Source organism: Homo sapiens, chromosome 2 (genome assembly GCF_000001405.40).
Source record: "Homo sapiens chromosome 2, GRCh38.p14 Primary Assembly".
In the NCBI taxonomy this organism is placed as follows: Eukaryota; Metazoa; Chordata; class Mammalia; order Primates; family Hominidae; genus Homo; species Homo sapiens.
The window spans coordinates 73,688,895-73,703,651 of record NC_000002.12 but is presented as its reverse complement, the minus strand read 5'-3'; the positions used below and the strand labels follow the sequence as shown (position 1 = coordinate 73,703,651).

Sequence of the window (14,757 nt, the reverse complement as noted above, 5' to 3'; positions counted from 1 at the left end):
TGAGCACCTGCATCCCTGCACTGGGGGCCCTGCTGTTGCCTGGATGCGGCACTAGCCTTAAGGGGTAGCTGCTTCCATTCCCACCTCCTCAGATCCATTGTCCACCTGCAGCCAGAGTGAAGCGCGCACACACACACACACACACACACACACACACACACACACACACACACACACACCCCTTCTCCCCTCTGTGCATATCAATGTCCTCCCCTTGCTCTTGGAATAGAGTCCAAACTACCTAACCTAGATGACGGGCCCAGCGTGGCTGATCAACAATGGGTTGGCTAATCTTTTAGGGAAGTTTCCCTTCAATAGCATGTAAGTTGGTGTGGAAAAGGGCTTTTTCTGTTAGGTTTTGCTTTTGCCTATCTTGTATATGTTGCATCCTTGTAATTGGGCCCCTTGAGATTTCAGCACCATACCATGTTTTAGTGACTGAAATAATGAACATTCTGATCAGACCGTTGCTGGCTTGCACATGTTAACCACTTGCTTTTGGTCCAATATTCCTTGTTCCCACAACATAATGATAAACTGCTCATGCACTGTTTCTTTGTTCAGCAGGAAGACATTCCTTCAGGGTCAGGAAAAGTTTGCAGAAGGAATGAATGCCTTGAAGGACACTGTGACCAGCTGCTGACACTGAGAAGCCTGGTTGCACAAGGTGTTATCTCAGACTGAGGAAACACAGACTTTTCCTCTCAATCCCCCTGAACTCCCCCTTCCTCACTCTCTAGCTGCATAAAAACATTCTGCTGCTGCTTCTTTGTTGAACTGAAGTTGAGAGATCTTCCTCTCCTGCCTTCTTGCTTTGGCCAAATCGAATACAACTTTCTCTATCTCCAAGCACCCATGTGTCAGTGTTTGGGATCAGCTCCACGTCGGGTACAAGAGCTTGAATTTGGGCCTCTCCAACATCTGCAGTGCAAAATATTTAACAACGGGTGTGGCACAGCCTCTGACCAACAGCCAGAACACACACAAGCCACACACAGCCATGCCTGTCAGCCGAATGTCAACCTTGCTCATGGCTGAAATGACCCCCAGACATGGGAAGTGCATCGCACACACCTGTTGACTGAATCAATGAATGGGTGGAGGTGGGGGTTGGTGAGGTGAGTGCAAAGAACTGCCAACAATCGATGCTTTGTGGACCAGGGAAACCTCAGCATGGAGAAGCCTAGCTGGGAAGGGCCTTGTTGCCAAGTGTGGGGACTCGGCTTCTGGCCAATGGTGACTGAGTGCAGGGTGAATGGCACAGTTCTCAGGCTCGTGGTATATGTGTACAGGGACCAAGGTGGATCTCAGAGAGTATCAAGTGTGCCAGGTGGCAGAAAGATGCCCAGGGCCTGAACAGGCAAGAGAGGTGGCAGGCCTTCCAGAAGGGCAAGGAACCCAGGCGGTTCCAGACCCTGAGTTTCCCCCTCCAGGCCATTCCCTTTGACTATAAAGGGGAATGCACACTGGGCTCCCTGCTGTGTTACAGCCCAGCTCTTTGACCCTAGGGTTGATGATTACCAAACATTCAGGAGCCAAGCAATGAGGCAGGCAGCCTGCTTTCCAGGGGTGAGCAAGCCCCAGACGGTATCTCCTGGATGCCAGTGAGCGGCTGACAGCTGAAGCTCCCTGGACACTCAAGGCTCTTGTGGTGACAGGTGAGGGGACTGGGTGGAAGGACAGTGCTCTGAGCATGCACCTTCCTTGGGATCTGGAGGCTGGGCTGTTTTTTATGCTTGGCACTTATGCCACCTCAGCAACCTAAAAACTTACAATAAAGCTGGAGGGAGCCTTTCCTGAAACTTGTGCTTGGTCACAGGATTTCTGCGATGTATGGTCCCTGGAGAAGCACCAAAGGGTTGGGCATGTGGCCTGCCTGAGGTAGGTACTCTCTCAATGCACCAAGAAGCTGAGAGAGCCAGAAAAAGGAAACAGAGGGAAGAGTGGTGGGTAGTTCATCTATCAGGGCTTTATAGAAGGTATTTTATTCAATCTTCGAAACAACTCTAGAAGGCAGGTTTTCTTCTCCCCTGTTCTATAGATGAAGAAGTGGAGGCTCAGAGAGGTTAAGTGACATGCCCAAGGTCACACAGCTAGAAAGGCATGGAGCCAGATTCCAATGCAGGTCTTTCTCATGCTACCTTCTCCCAGTGGCAGAGGCCTGCTTCCTCATGGGCAAACGCGGAAAGACACACCCTTAAGCAGGTCTCCCTGTTCCTGCAAGGCTGGGAGCCATGCAGGCACTCACGTGGTTTCCTCTCTCTTCCCCAGGCCTGGCGTAAAGGCGTGCAGGGAGGCCTAGCTCTGTTTCCTGGACTCAGTGACTTCAGACACAGAAGTCTGTCCATGGCTCCTTATCACATCCGCAAATACCAGGAGAGCGACCGCAAGTAGGTCGTGGGCTTGCTCTCCCGGGGGATGGCCGAACACGCCCCAGCCACCTTCCGGCGATTACTGAAGCTGCCTCGAACCCTCATACTCTTACTTGGGGGGGCCCTTGCCCTACTCCTGGTCTCTGGCTCCTGGATTCTGGCCCTCGTGTTCAGCCTCAGCCTCCTTCCTGCCCTGTGGTTCCTTGCCAAAAAACCCTGGACGCGGTATGTAGACATAGCATTGCGCACAGACATGTCTGACATCACCAAATCCTACCTGAGTGAGTGTGGCTCCTGCTTCTGGGTGGGTGAATCTGAAGAGAAGGTGGTGGGCACAGTAGGAGCTCTGCCCGTTGATGATCCCACCTTGAGGGAGAAGCGGTTGCAGCTGTTTCATCTCTCTGTGGACAATGAGCACCGTGGTCAGGGGATAGCAAAAGCCCTGGTCAGGACTGTCCTCCAGTTTGCCCGGGACTAGGGCTACAGTGAAGTTGTCCTGGACACCAGCAACATCCAGCTCTCTGCCATGGGCCTCTACCAGAGCTTGGGCTTCAAGAAGACGGGCCAGTCCTTCTTCCACGTGTGGGCCAGGCTGGTGGATCTTCATACAGTTCATTTCATCTATCACCTCCCTTCTGCTCAGGCAGGGCGTCTATGATTTCTTTCCTTCTGTATTGGTCAGAATAGAATCCATTCGGCTGTAGCAGCAAGCAATCCCCAACCTCTGACTGCAATGACCTTTCTGTGCAATAAAAGCTTATTGTCCATTAACATCTGAGTCCCATGCGATTGCCTGTGGGGTAGCTTCTGGGTTTCTGCTTCATTCAGTCTTTTTGATTCCCATCTGTTTCATTTTTCTAGTGCCAGGATAATGTTGCATAAGAACAATCATAAAATGAAATCAATATTTATTTAGCTCATGAGTCTGAAGTCAGCAATTTTGCCTGAGCTTGGCTGGGCAGTTCCTCTGGTCTCAGACTGCATTGTGCAAATGCAGTGGGATTGGCTGAAAGATTAGCTCAATGGTGCTTTTTCATTTTCCCTCAGGCTAGCTCAGGCATGGTTTCAAGGAAATTGCAGAGGAGCAAAAACAAAAGCAGAAGCAAACAAACGTGTTTTCAAACTCCTGCATGCGTCGCATCTTCCCCAAATTCAAGGAGAGAGGAACCTGCCTCTGTAATGATCATGAAGGGCTGCAAAGTCACATAGCAAAAGGGTGGAATGCAGCCTCGGGAGAAGAATTGGGGCCAGAGACACAACCAATCCACTCTAACCACAGGGTCTCTGCAGAGGGAAGAAGGTGGCCTCAGAGGGGAGTGTGGGATTTACCATGGTCTAGACCTGGAAGTAGTATAACTCTTCCAGGGGATCATAACAGAATACCTGAGACTGGGTAATTTATAAGGAAAAGAGGTGTATTTGGTTCATGGTTTTGCAGGCTGTACAAAAAGCACAGTGCAGGCATCTGCTTCTGGTGAGGGCCTCAGGAATCTTTCACTTATGGTGGAAGCTGAAGGGGGAGCAGGTGTGTCACACGGCGAGACAGCACACAAGAAAGATGCTAGGTGCTTTCAAACAACCAGCTTACATGTGAACTAACAGGGCCAGAACTCATTCATTACCATGGACAGAGCACCAACCCATTCATGAGGAATCCACCCCTATGAGCGAAACACCTCCCACTAGGCCCTACCTCTAACATTGGGGGTCATATTTCAACATGTGATTTGGAGAGAACAAACATCTAAACTATATCAGTCTGCCTCTTACCCCAAAATCTCATGTCATCTCACATTGCAAAATGCAACCATCCCTTCCTGATAGTTTCCCAATGTCTCAGCTTGTTCCAGCATCAACTCAAAAGTCCAGAATCCATAGTTTCATCTGAGCCTCAAGGCAAATGCCTTCCACCCATGAGGCTGTTATATCAAAAACAAGTTACATACTTCCAAGATACAACTGTGTTACAGGTATTGGGTAGGCATTCCCATTCCAAAAGCGAGAAATTGGCCAAAAGAAAGAGGCAACAGGCCCCACACATGTCTGAAACCCAGCAGGGCAAACACTAAATCTGAAACTTCCAAAATCATCTTCCTTAACTCCATACTGGTGAGAGGAGTGGGCTTTCAAGGCCTTGAGCAGCCCTGTCTCTATGGCTTTGCTGGGTGCAGCCCACATGGCTGCTCTCACAGGTTGGGATTGAGCCTGTGGGTCTTCCATGCTGAGGTTGCAAGCTGCTGGCGACTCTACCTTTCTGGTGTCTGGAAGGCATTGGCCCCATTCCCACAGCTCCACTAGGCAATGTCCCAGTGAGGACCCTGTATGGGGGTTCCAACCCTATGTTTTCCCATGGCTCTGCCCTAGTAGAGGTTCTCTGTGGGGTCTCCGCCCTGTGCAGGCTTCTGCCTGGGCACCCAGGCTTTTTGATACATCTTCAGAAATTTAGGTGGAAGCTCCCAAGCCTCCTTCACTCTTGCATTCTGCAAGCCTGCAGACCTAAAACCATATGGAAGGCTGGGCATGGTGGCTCACACATGTAATTCCAGCACTTTGGGAGGCTGAGGCAGGTGGATCACCTGAGGTCAGGAGTTGGAGACCAGCCTGACCAACATTGTGAAACCCCGTATCTACTGAAAATACAAAATTAGCTGGGCATGATGGCACATGCCTGCAATCCCAGATACTTGGGATACTGAGGCAGGAGAATCACTTGAACCTTTGAGGCAGAGGTTGCAGTGAGCTGAGATCGTGCTGTTGCATTCCAGCCTGGTTGACAGGACAAGACTCTGTCTCAAAAAAAAAAGACAAAAAAAAAAACATATGGAAGCTGCTAAGGCTTAGGGCTTGTACCCTCCAAAGCAGTGGTCTGCGCTTCACCTGGGGCCCTTTGAGCCAAGGCTGGAGCTGGAGAAGCTGGGATGTGGGAAGTAGCATCCTGAGGTGACATAGGGCAATGGTGTCCTGGGCCTGGTCTCTGAAACCATTCAGTCCTCCTAGGCCTGTGGGCCTGTGATAGGAGGGGCCTTCTGAAATGCCTCTGAGGCCTTTTCCCACTGTCTTGAATATTAGCACCTGGCTCCCTTTTAGACATGCTAATGTCTCCAGCAAGTAGTTGCTCAGCAGGCTGCTTGGATTCCTCCTTGTCTACCACATGGCCAGGCTGCAAGTTTTATAAATATTTACACCCGCTCTCCATTTTAATTATAAGTTCTGTTAAAAGAAATCCATTAGACAAATTAAATTTCACAGAGTAATTGAGCAAGAAAAATAAATATTTTGCAAGTTGGGCAGCCCTCAGAATTACAGCAGATACAGACAGACACCAGGGATGCTGTGTTGTCAAAGCAAATTTGTGGACAGAAAAAGGAAAGTGACATACAGAAAATGGAAGTGAGGTACAGAAACAGCCAGATTGGTTACAGCTTGGTGTTTGCCTTATCTGGGCATGATTCCAACAGTCGGCTGCCTGTGAGTGGTTGAAGTATGGCCAATGGGATTGGCTGAGACTCAGCTATTGCTAAAGAAGCATCCTCCTAAGTTAGGTTTTCAGTCTGCCTGCCTACTAGTTACATTACGGTTCACCCTTAAGAACTCAAGCATGGCAATATGAAGGCTTCCTCAGGCCGGATTTGAGTTTCATTTATCAACTCCCCTCTCTTTGTCAGACTCTCAATTTAGAGAGATTGATCAAAAGTTTAGGCATTGATGCCACTCTCCCACTATTGTAAATTGGCTCAGTATGGAATTCACAAGTCCTTTTAGTCTCAGTATGGAGTTCACAAGTCTTTATTGGTGTCACTATGAAGTTCACAAGTCACAACTTCACACTAGGTAAATGATTCTTTATGTTCTTGCTGACCTAGTTGAAGTGAGACCATTCAATTCTCAATGTATGGCTGCATACAAAACATTTATGACTTGAGAGGATGCAGCACACCAGGGAACTATTATTATGACTATCAAGAGAATAATATCAAAATACCAAGGTGCACCCCTTAACAAGAGTTCTTATGAAATAAATGAAACCAACTTAAACCAGTCAAAGTTCAGGCAACATAGGCAGTTCAACAATAGTAAAGTTTAATTGGTCATAGTTCTTGTTTGAAATGTGATAGCAATTAAGGACCATAGTTCACTGTAAAGTGGCCTGATTTAAAGACGTAGCCATTTTCATTGTTACTCTGGTAACACAGGCCATACTAACCTGGACACCTACTAGAAGACATATAAAGACTAGAAACCTTTGGGAAACCCAAGCTTGCCATCCACCATTTAGGATGCCTACAAACCAACTGTTAGTTGCTCCTGTAAACACACCATGTTTTCCTCTTGAGAGACTTCTTTATTGTATTTGGTGTCAGTGTCTAAGGAAACAGCAGTATCAGCCACCTTTACATTAAGCTTTCTGTAGTAACAAAATCAGTAGAGAGAAAATTGCAGCATTCCATTTTGTTCAATACCAAACATAGGCCCCAGCTTGAGTAAAAAGGAGATATGAAGCTGCATGATGTTCCATTAACTGTAACATCTACCTCGTTTATTTTATTTATTTATTTATTTATTTATTTATTTATTTATTTATTTTTTTGTGAGAAAGGGTCTCGCTCTGTTAACCAGGCTAGAGTGTAGTGGGGTGATCTCAGCTCACTGCAACCTCTGTCTTCTGGGTTCAAGCAATTCTCCTGCCTCAGTCTCCCAAGTAGCTGGGACTACAGGCACACGCCACCATGCCTGGCTAATTTTTTGTACTTAGGAGAGATGGGGTTTCACCATGGTGGGCAGGCTGGTCTCGAACTCTTGACCTCAGGTGATCCACCTGCCTTAGCCTCCCAAAGTGCTGGAATTACAGGCATGAGCCACTGCACCAGGCCACATCTACCTTTTGGAGAGTAGCTTCTACCTGTCTGGAACATTGGGATGTCTGATTGGCTATAAAATCCAAGACCCCAAATATGGATTAGCTTCAGATTCCATACAACTAGTATCCCACCACCACCAAGAGTGAGTCCCCAGGAACCCCACTGGAATCTTTCCTCAGTGGAAACTAGCTTATCTTTGTCTATTTCAAAGCTAGTGCTAATTTCAGTTATTGTCTATTTTGGCCTCCAATCATAAGAGCTGTTAGGAGAATTTTTAGGTGAAACTATTTGAAAGGCAGAAGTGAGCCAGACCAAACAGCAAGGTCTGAGTCAACGAGGAGGCAGAATGAAATGCGCAGATTATCCACAGACCCAGTATAGGCCCTTGGGAGTTGAAAAACAGGGCCACATAGTTGCATTTGAGCAGGGGTCAGTTAGATTTGTTCATTAATAAACCTACACAGCTCCTGAACAAAATCCACTGGGAAATTGACCTTTTTGTGCTCGCCCTGTAGTATGTTGTAAGGGTGTATAACACATTTAGTAAAAAGAGACCCTGTTGAATTTAATCTGGTGATATTATACAAGCAATTACTTGTACTCACATAGGTAATTCCCGTAACTTGAGTGCATGATGCCTGAAAGCACAATATATCTTTTGCAGGCATCACTTGGACTGGTTTTCTATATTTTGGTATTGATCAGGTTATTAATTGAAACAGTTAAGGCCAGGCATGGTGGCTCACGCCTGTAATCCCAGAACTTTGGGAGACCGAGGCTGGTGGATCACTTGAGGCAAGGAGGTTCGAGACCAGCCTGGCCAACATAGCAAAATCTAGTCTCTACTAAAAATTCAAAAATCAGCTGGATGCGGTGGTGCATGCCTAGAGTCCCAGCTACTTGGGTGGCTGAGGCAGGAGAATTGCTTGAACCTTGGAGGTGGAGGCTGTAGTGAGCCAAGATAAGGCCACTGCACTCCAACCTAGGCAACAGAGTGAGACTGCCTCAGAAAAAAAAAAAAAAAGGAAAAGTTAAAGTGTTGCTTTTAGTGAGTGCAGGAAAACAAGTAGCAATGGTGTTCAGAATATCAAGGATAGCTTTCTATCCTTCCCTTGGAATTTTGGGGTGACTCTCATTGGCAACATGGAGAGGCATTGGCATTAGCGGAATTGTTTCCTTATTTTTTTGGCAATAAAAACAAACCCAATAAGCCACAAACTCTGGTTCTGTGCTAGAGCATATGCTCAAGCTAAAGCCATCCACTGATTATCGTCCCATGGATTTTTCTGTAGGGAAAAAGAAAGAATTAGGGCAACAGGAAATGCGGAGAAAAGAAAAAATGTAAGGCTTTCATGATGATACAGAAGTCTTGATCTGTGATCTTGGGAAAGCTGTCCACAGCTAGAATGCCCGCTGCTCTGGAGAGATATTTCCTTAGACAGCTTTACCTTAAAGTCTCCAGCAGGTGTACAGTTCCAGGAGTCTGAAGAGGCCCTTCTGAGTTGTGAGGTGTGGACCCAAGTTTCAAGGCCCTGAAGCTTCACTGCAGTGTAGGTGTTGAGAAGATCTCAGCACGGTCCCTTCCAAAGAGTTGTCAAGAGCAGCCTTTCTCTGATGTCATTTCCAGAAGACACAATCTCCAGGTTCTAGACTGTGGAAGGTTTGATTATCCTCAGTTGGTGGATCTTGAAAAGCTTCCTTTATCTGGTGAAAGTACACTTTGGTATAATGGCCTTGCAGTACTTACTCATATCAGAATTTAGGAGACAGAAAGATGCATGAGGTTTCACTATTGGGGCATAGGCCTTCTAGTGACTATTTCATAAGGGATCCACTTCTGTTTTTTAGTGAGAGTGGATCTGATTGTCATTAAGTCCAATGATAGTACCTTTGGCCAAGGCAACCCAACTGATTCAGTTAACTTTGCCAATTTCAGTTTTAATATGCCATTTGTTCTTTCAACCTTTTCAGAAGACTGAGGGCGATAGGGACAATGGTAGTGCCATTGTGTCCATAACACCTTGTTTAACTGCTTTATAACCTGCCTAATAAAATGAATTCCCCTATTGCTGGGGATTTTTCCAGGGATGCTCCATAAAGAAAACACATTTTCTAATAATTTCTTAGCTACTGTCACAGCATCAGCTTTCCTACACAGGAAGGCCTCTACCCAACCAGAAAACATGGAAACTATTACAAGAACATACTGAGACCCCCATTGAAGGTGGCAACTGAATGAAGTCTATCTATAATTGTTCAAATGATCCATTAGGTGGTGAAAATACAATACACCACCTGAATCTTTTGTTTTTCCAGGACTATGGGTTTGACAAGCCAACATTGGTTATAAAATATTCTAGCAGGCTGGGTGCAGTGGATAATGCCTGTAAGCCTAGCATATTGGGAGGCCGAGGCAGGTGGATCACAAGGTCAGGATATCCAGACTATCCTAGCTAACATGGTGAAACCCCATCTCTACTAAAAATAAAAAAAAATTAGTCGGGCATGGTGGCACACACCTGTAGTCCCAGCTACTCGGGAGGCTGATGCAGGAGAATCACTTGAACCAGGGAGGTGGAGTGTGCAGTGAGTTGAGATCGCGCCCTTGCACTCCAGCCTGGGTGACAGAGTGAGACTCCGTCTCAAAATATATATACATATATATATATATATATATTCTAGCAATTTTGGAACAATCATCCCACAAGTATTTTTTCACAATTTGGACGTATTTTTCTGTTCCATGATGAGTTGTGGAGTACAGAGCTTTTGAAAATAGAAGCTTCAAAGACTCAGGAAAGACCAGACAGCCATCTAGGCCCTCTGTGAGTCTGCACTTAACATTGAATTTATATCCTTTTAGATACCAGTTTTGTTTTTCCAAATGAGGTGCATTGCACTGTTTATTAAATAGGTCATTGTAAGGTAGTTGGATTGGATTAATCTTATGAAGTTCATTCAGGTTGCATATCTGAACAGTTTCAGTACTAGCTGATTTAGCATAAATATCTGCTAAGCATTCCCTTGATATTCAGGTTCAGTTCTGCAGGTATGAGCTTCGATCACTAACAGCAAACTAGGAGTTTATCTAACTGGAGTCCATTTTTGATGGTGATCCCACTAGAAGTGAGAAACCCTTAGAGTTTCCCTATCATGCCAAAATCATGTACTACTCCTAAAGCGTATCTACTATCTGTCTAAATACTTACTGATTTGTCTTTAGCTATACGACAAGCTTGGGTGAGGGCAAAAATCTTCAAGAGTTAAGCTGACTTATAGAGCTTAGACTAATAGAGCTGACTAATAGAGGAAGGGGTCCCTTCTCTATTAACTCATTTTGGTAACAGCATATCCTAGCTGATATTTTCCTTCTGAGCTTTTGGCATAGGACCCATCAACAAAAGTATTAACTCAGGATTGTCCAAAGGACTAACTTGTAAATTAACATGAGGGGCCACTATTTCTGATGCTACACTTATGCAATTGTGGTCTTCACCATCATCAGGCAGCAGTAATACAGTGGCATGGTTAAGTAAATTGCAGTGTTTTAGAGAGAGATTAGAAGGAGACAGAGTATTTCATGTTAGTCTACTTACTAAAAAATGCTGGGTTTGGGTGGAATTTAGCATGTGGGACTTCCAAATTAAATTCATTTCCTAAAACCAGATCAGCTGAAGCTTCTTTCATCCTGGTTGCTGCTGCTACTGCTTTTAAATAGTTAGGATATACCTTAGCTACTGGGTCTAATTGCAGGCTATAATATGCAATGGGCCTATGTTTCTCCCCATGTTCCTGGGTAAGAACTCCTAAATGCCTGATTATTACTTTCATGAGCCAATTAGGTAAACAGTTTAGTGCAATTTGGAAGTCCTAAAGCTGGAGGCTGTTACAAGGTCAATTTTATTTAGCTAAAAGCCTGCTCGTAACTATCATCCCAAGATAAAGGCTCTGGTACAGCATTTTTTAGGGAGCTCATGAAATGGTGAGGCTATTAAGGAAAAATTCAGAACCCAGGAATTTTATATCCTGCAAGTCTAAAAACATATCCTGCAAGTCCAAGAAAACTATTTAATTATCTTTTGGTTGCAGGCCAAGGAAAATTTTGAATAGTTTTTAACTTTTTAGGTGAGAGGGAAATCCCTTCAAGTCATGTCCCAAATAATGGACTTTTTCCCCTTGAAAACTGAAGTTTTTCTATTGAAGCTTTCTGACCTTGATGTGTGAGTTGCTGTAAAAGGTAAACTGAGTCCATTTCAGAGCACTCTTTAGTGGGAGAGCATATAGTAAGTCATCTATGTACCGAATGAGAGTAGAATTTTAAGGAAACTATAATGTCATTAAGTCCTGATGCAAGGCCTGGGAAAAATACGAAGGGGCTTCGGTAAACCCTTGCGGCATCACAGTCTAGGGGTACTGCTGATTTTTCCAAGTGAAGGCAAATAAGCATTGACTCTCTTTACGAATTGGATTGCAAAAAGAGGCTGAGCAGAGATCTAATATTGTGAACCACTTAAGAATCAGCATGTATACTGGATAATAAAGTATTAGGATTTGGGACTATAGGAAACCTTGCTACTACAATTTTGTTAACTGCCCATAAATCTTGAATAAATCTTCAACCTCATCCATTTTTTTTTTAACCAGTAGGATTGGAGTGTTACAACGGCTGGTGCATAGAATTATAAGTCCCTGTTTAATTAAATCTTCTATAATTGGCGAGAGCCCTTGAATTGCTTCTAGTTTTAGTGGATATTGGGTAATTTAGGCAAAAGTTTAGAGTGGTCTATTTGGACTTTTATAAGTTCCACACTTTAAATTCTTCCTGTGTCAGTTGAGGAAGAGACCCATAAACATTCATGTATTTTTGGAAGATCAGGCATTACAGGCCTGAGTTTCAATCTTATTAATTTCTGCCTATAGAGAGCATAACAATTCTGGTTCAGGAGAATCAGGAAACTGATTCTTACTCCTTCTAAGGAAAATTTTACATCCTCCCCACTTTTAAAAATTTTTTAATTTAAACAATTTCAATTGTTTTGGGAGTACAGGTGGTTTTTGGTTACATGGACAAGTTCTTTACTGGTGAGTTCTGAGATTTTAGTGTGCCCATTTCCCAAGCAGTGTACAATGTACCCAATAGGTAGTCTTCTATGCCCTTTCAGCTTTGAAAGTAAATCTCCCTCTAGCAAATTTACTGGAGCACTATCATACAGTAAAAAAGTGTGATTTTCTGAAGAGTGCCCCAAAGTCAATTGGACGGGTTCAGATATGGGAACCTCTTGAATTTGATTTGAAACCCCAACCACAGAAATAGCCTTTTTAACTCTGAGGGATCTGTTGGCGTATGAAAGTGTGTTTTACGGTAGTGGCAGATAAGGTAGCTCTGGTATCCACCAAGACTATACATGAGTCCCCATTTATTGTAACCTCTGTTTCTCCATATTCTTTTAAGGGTGTTATGAGGAGCAATATACTGGGAAATCCCTCAGAGCCGCTTCAATGCTGATTATCTTCAGGAGAGCTAAGGTCTCTTGTGCTCCCTCTAGTGGTGAAACAGGCTGGCCTAAAGGGAGGGTCATTGGTGGGCTGGTATAAAAGGGCACAATCCCTATTCCACTGTCCTGGTTGTTTGCAATAAGGCAGACATCTTAGGGTGAAGAATTTCTTGGTCTAATACCTCTTGGTTGTGATTTAAAATGAGAATGAGAAGATCCCTTTGGTCTTGGCCCCTGTAACTGTTGTAATTGAACAGTCATAAGCTTGTTAGCCTTTTGGGTTTTTTCTTGCTCTACAGTCCTCTCAAAATGTTCAGCTAGAGCCACCAATTCAGTCATGGCTGTAACTTCCCATCCGAGTTTATGTTTTCTAATTAAATTTCTAAGTTCAGGATGAAGTCCCTTTATAAATAGAGTAGTTAATACCATTTCAGTCCCTGCAGGAAATACTCCTTGCTGGTACTCTGAGCCCAGAATGTTTCACATTATTTCTAAGCAAGTTCTGTAATCTGACACTGGTTCATTCTTTTTTTGGTTTACAATATTGTATGATGTACCAATCAACTTTTGCGGAAAAATTTTAGCACTTGAATTTAAAAGATTTTCAGCAATTTTTTTTTCCTTCTTTTCTTTTGAGATGGGGTCTCGCTCTGCTACCCAGGCTAGAGTGCAGTGGCACAGTCATGGCTCACAGTAGCCTCAAGCTCCCAGGCTCAGGTGATCCTCCCACTTCAGCCTCATAAGTAGCTGGGTCTACAGGCGTGTGCCATCATGCCCAGCTAACTTTCTGTATTTTTCGTATAGACAGGGTTTTGCCATGTTGCCCAGGCTGGGATTTGCAGCAATATTTCTAGCTCCTGTTGGGCCTTCTCATGAGGAAGTTTTGTGGGGGCGGGCAGTAGGGGCAGAGTCTTTAATATCTTCCTCCGGTTTGTTCCATTCTGCTGCTGCCATCCATTTTTGAGCTTCACCAGGCCTCCATATCATATGAATAAATTTATATGAACCTTTGTCAGGGAGTCCTGGATCATAATCTCCTATGAGGATTCTACACTCCTCAGTCAATTTTTGAGGATTCTCTCCTAGATCAGGGAAGTCTTCTACAATAGCTCTAAGCTCAGTTTTAGACCATGGAGTGAAAGTGGTTATAGCAGGCAGGCCTGGATAATCAGAAGGTCTTCCTTTGTGAGGCGTACATCTAATTCCTCTTTTTTCATCATCTTGAGAGTGAAAGGTCAATTTAGTAAAAAGGTTAGTAGACTCAGAGTACGTAGGTAGAGATGCATAAAGAGAAGAATCAGTTGGGGTTAGTTCAGTCAGAGTACAGTTCTCTTTCATCATGTCCTTAGCCTGTTACTTAAGCTGTTCACTTGCTTTTGCGAAGAATCTTTTAAGGAGGCAAGTTTTCATTCATTTTGTCTTTTAGAGGCTTCCATGTACCAATGAAAGACTATATCCCACTGTTTTTGTGGGGTTTTGACCCCCTTTTTCTAATATGCCATGCAAATAAACAATTTTATACAAATTAAAACTTCCCCATTGTGGCCATCTTTTCTCTAGTAAGGTTAATCTATTTTTCTAAAAATGCACATATTCTGGGTCCATAATTTTACATATCAAATTAGATGGAGTCCCAGAAGGTAGAGTCCCAGAATCTTTGGATTGAGACAAACCCATTATCAAAAAAAAAAAAAAAAAAAAAGTGCCTAGTATAGGTCTGAGGCTCTAACGGAACCTAATCCAGTTAATTATTGATTCAAATTTGATCCTGAACCCAGTCCACTTTAATATCGCTCCAGTAAAGTTGGAGAGCTTCAATTAGAATACACATTAGTGGAGCTCTGAATCCAAGAGAAAACGCATCTACAACCTCCAGTTACAATCAAGAGATCAGTGAGCACAACTGGCCTGGTCACCTGGTGTTCCTGGAGGTCACCAGAGTTTTACTTCAAATTGCACTTCCAACACCAGATCTGGTAAAAGAAAAACCTTAGACAAACTAAATTTAACAGAATTTAATTTTGAAGAAAA

General features: G+C 44.1%; 1 long non-coding RNA gene and 1 pseudogene across 2 annotated transcripts, besides 1 other annotated feature; one reads left to right on the top strand and one right to left on the bottom strand.

The window, feature by feature from the left end:
• Positions 1,116–1,410: a silencer, noted in NCBI's record as "tiled region #15607; HepG2 Repressive non-DNase unmatched - State 4:PromP". NCBI's record gives its function as "represses a minimal TATA promoter and a strong SV40 promoter by Sharpr-MPRA in HepG2 cells {active_cell/tissue: HepG2}" and the evidence as "EXISTENCE:reporter gene assay evidence [ECO:0000049][PMID:27701403]".
• On the top strand, positions 1,527–3,143 carry NAT8B (N-acetyltransferase 8B (putative, gene/pseudogene); annotated as a pseudogene). Its single transcript, NR_132338.2, has 2 exons — positions 1,527–1,658; positions 2,272–3,143. The product of NR_132338.2 is annotated as an N-acetyltransferase 8B (putative, gene/pseudogene) (transcript).
• Positions 3,144–6,142: 2,999 nt separating this feature from the next.
• LOC112268418 (uncharacterized) lies at positions 6,143–9,787 on the bottom strand. The gene is made up of 2 exons (XR_007087079.1): positions 9,751–9,787; positions 6,143–8,935 (listed from the first exon to the last, which is right to left on the bottom strand). It is a non-coding gene; the product is annotated as an uncharacterized LOC112268418 (long non-coding RNA).
• Positions 9,788–14,757: the final 4,970 nt, after the last annotated feature.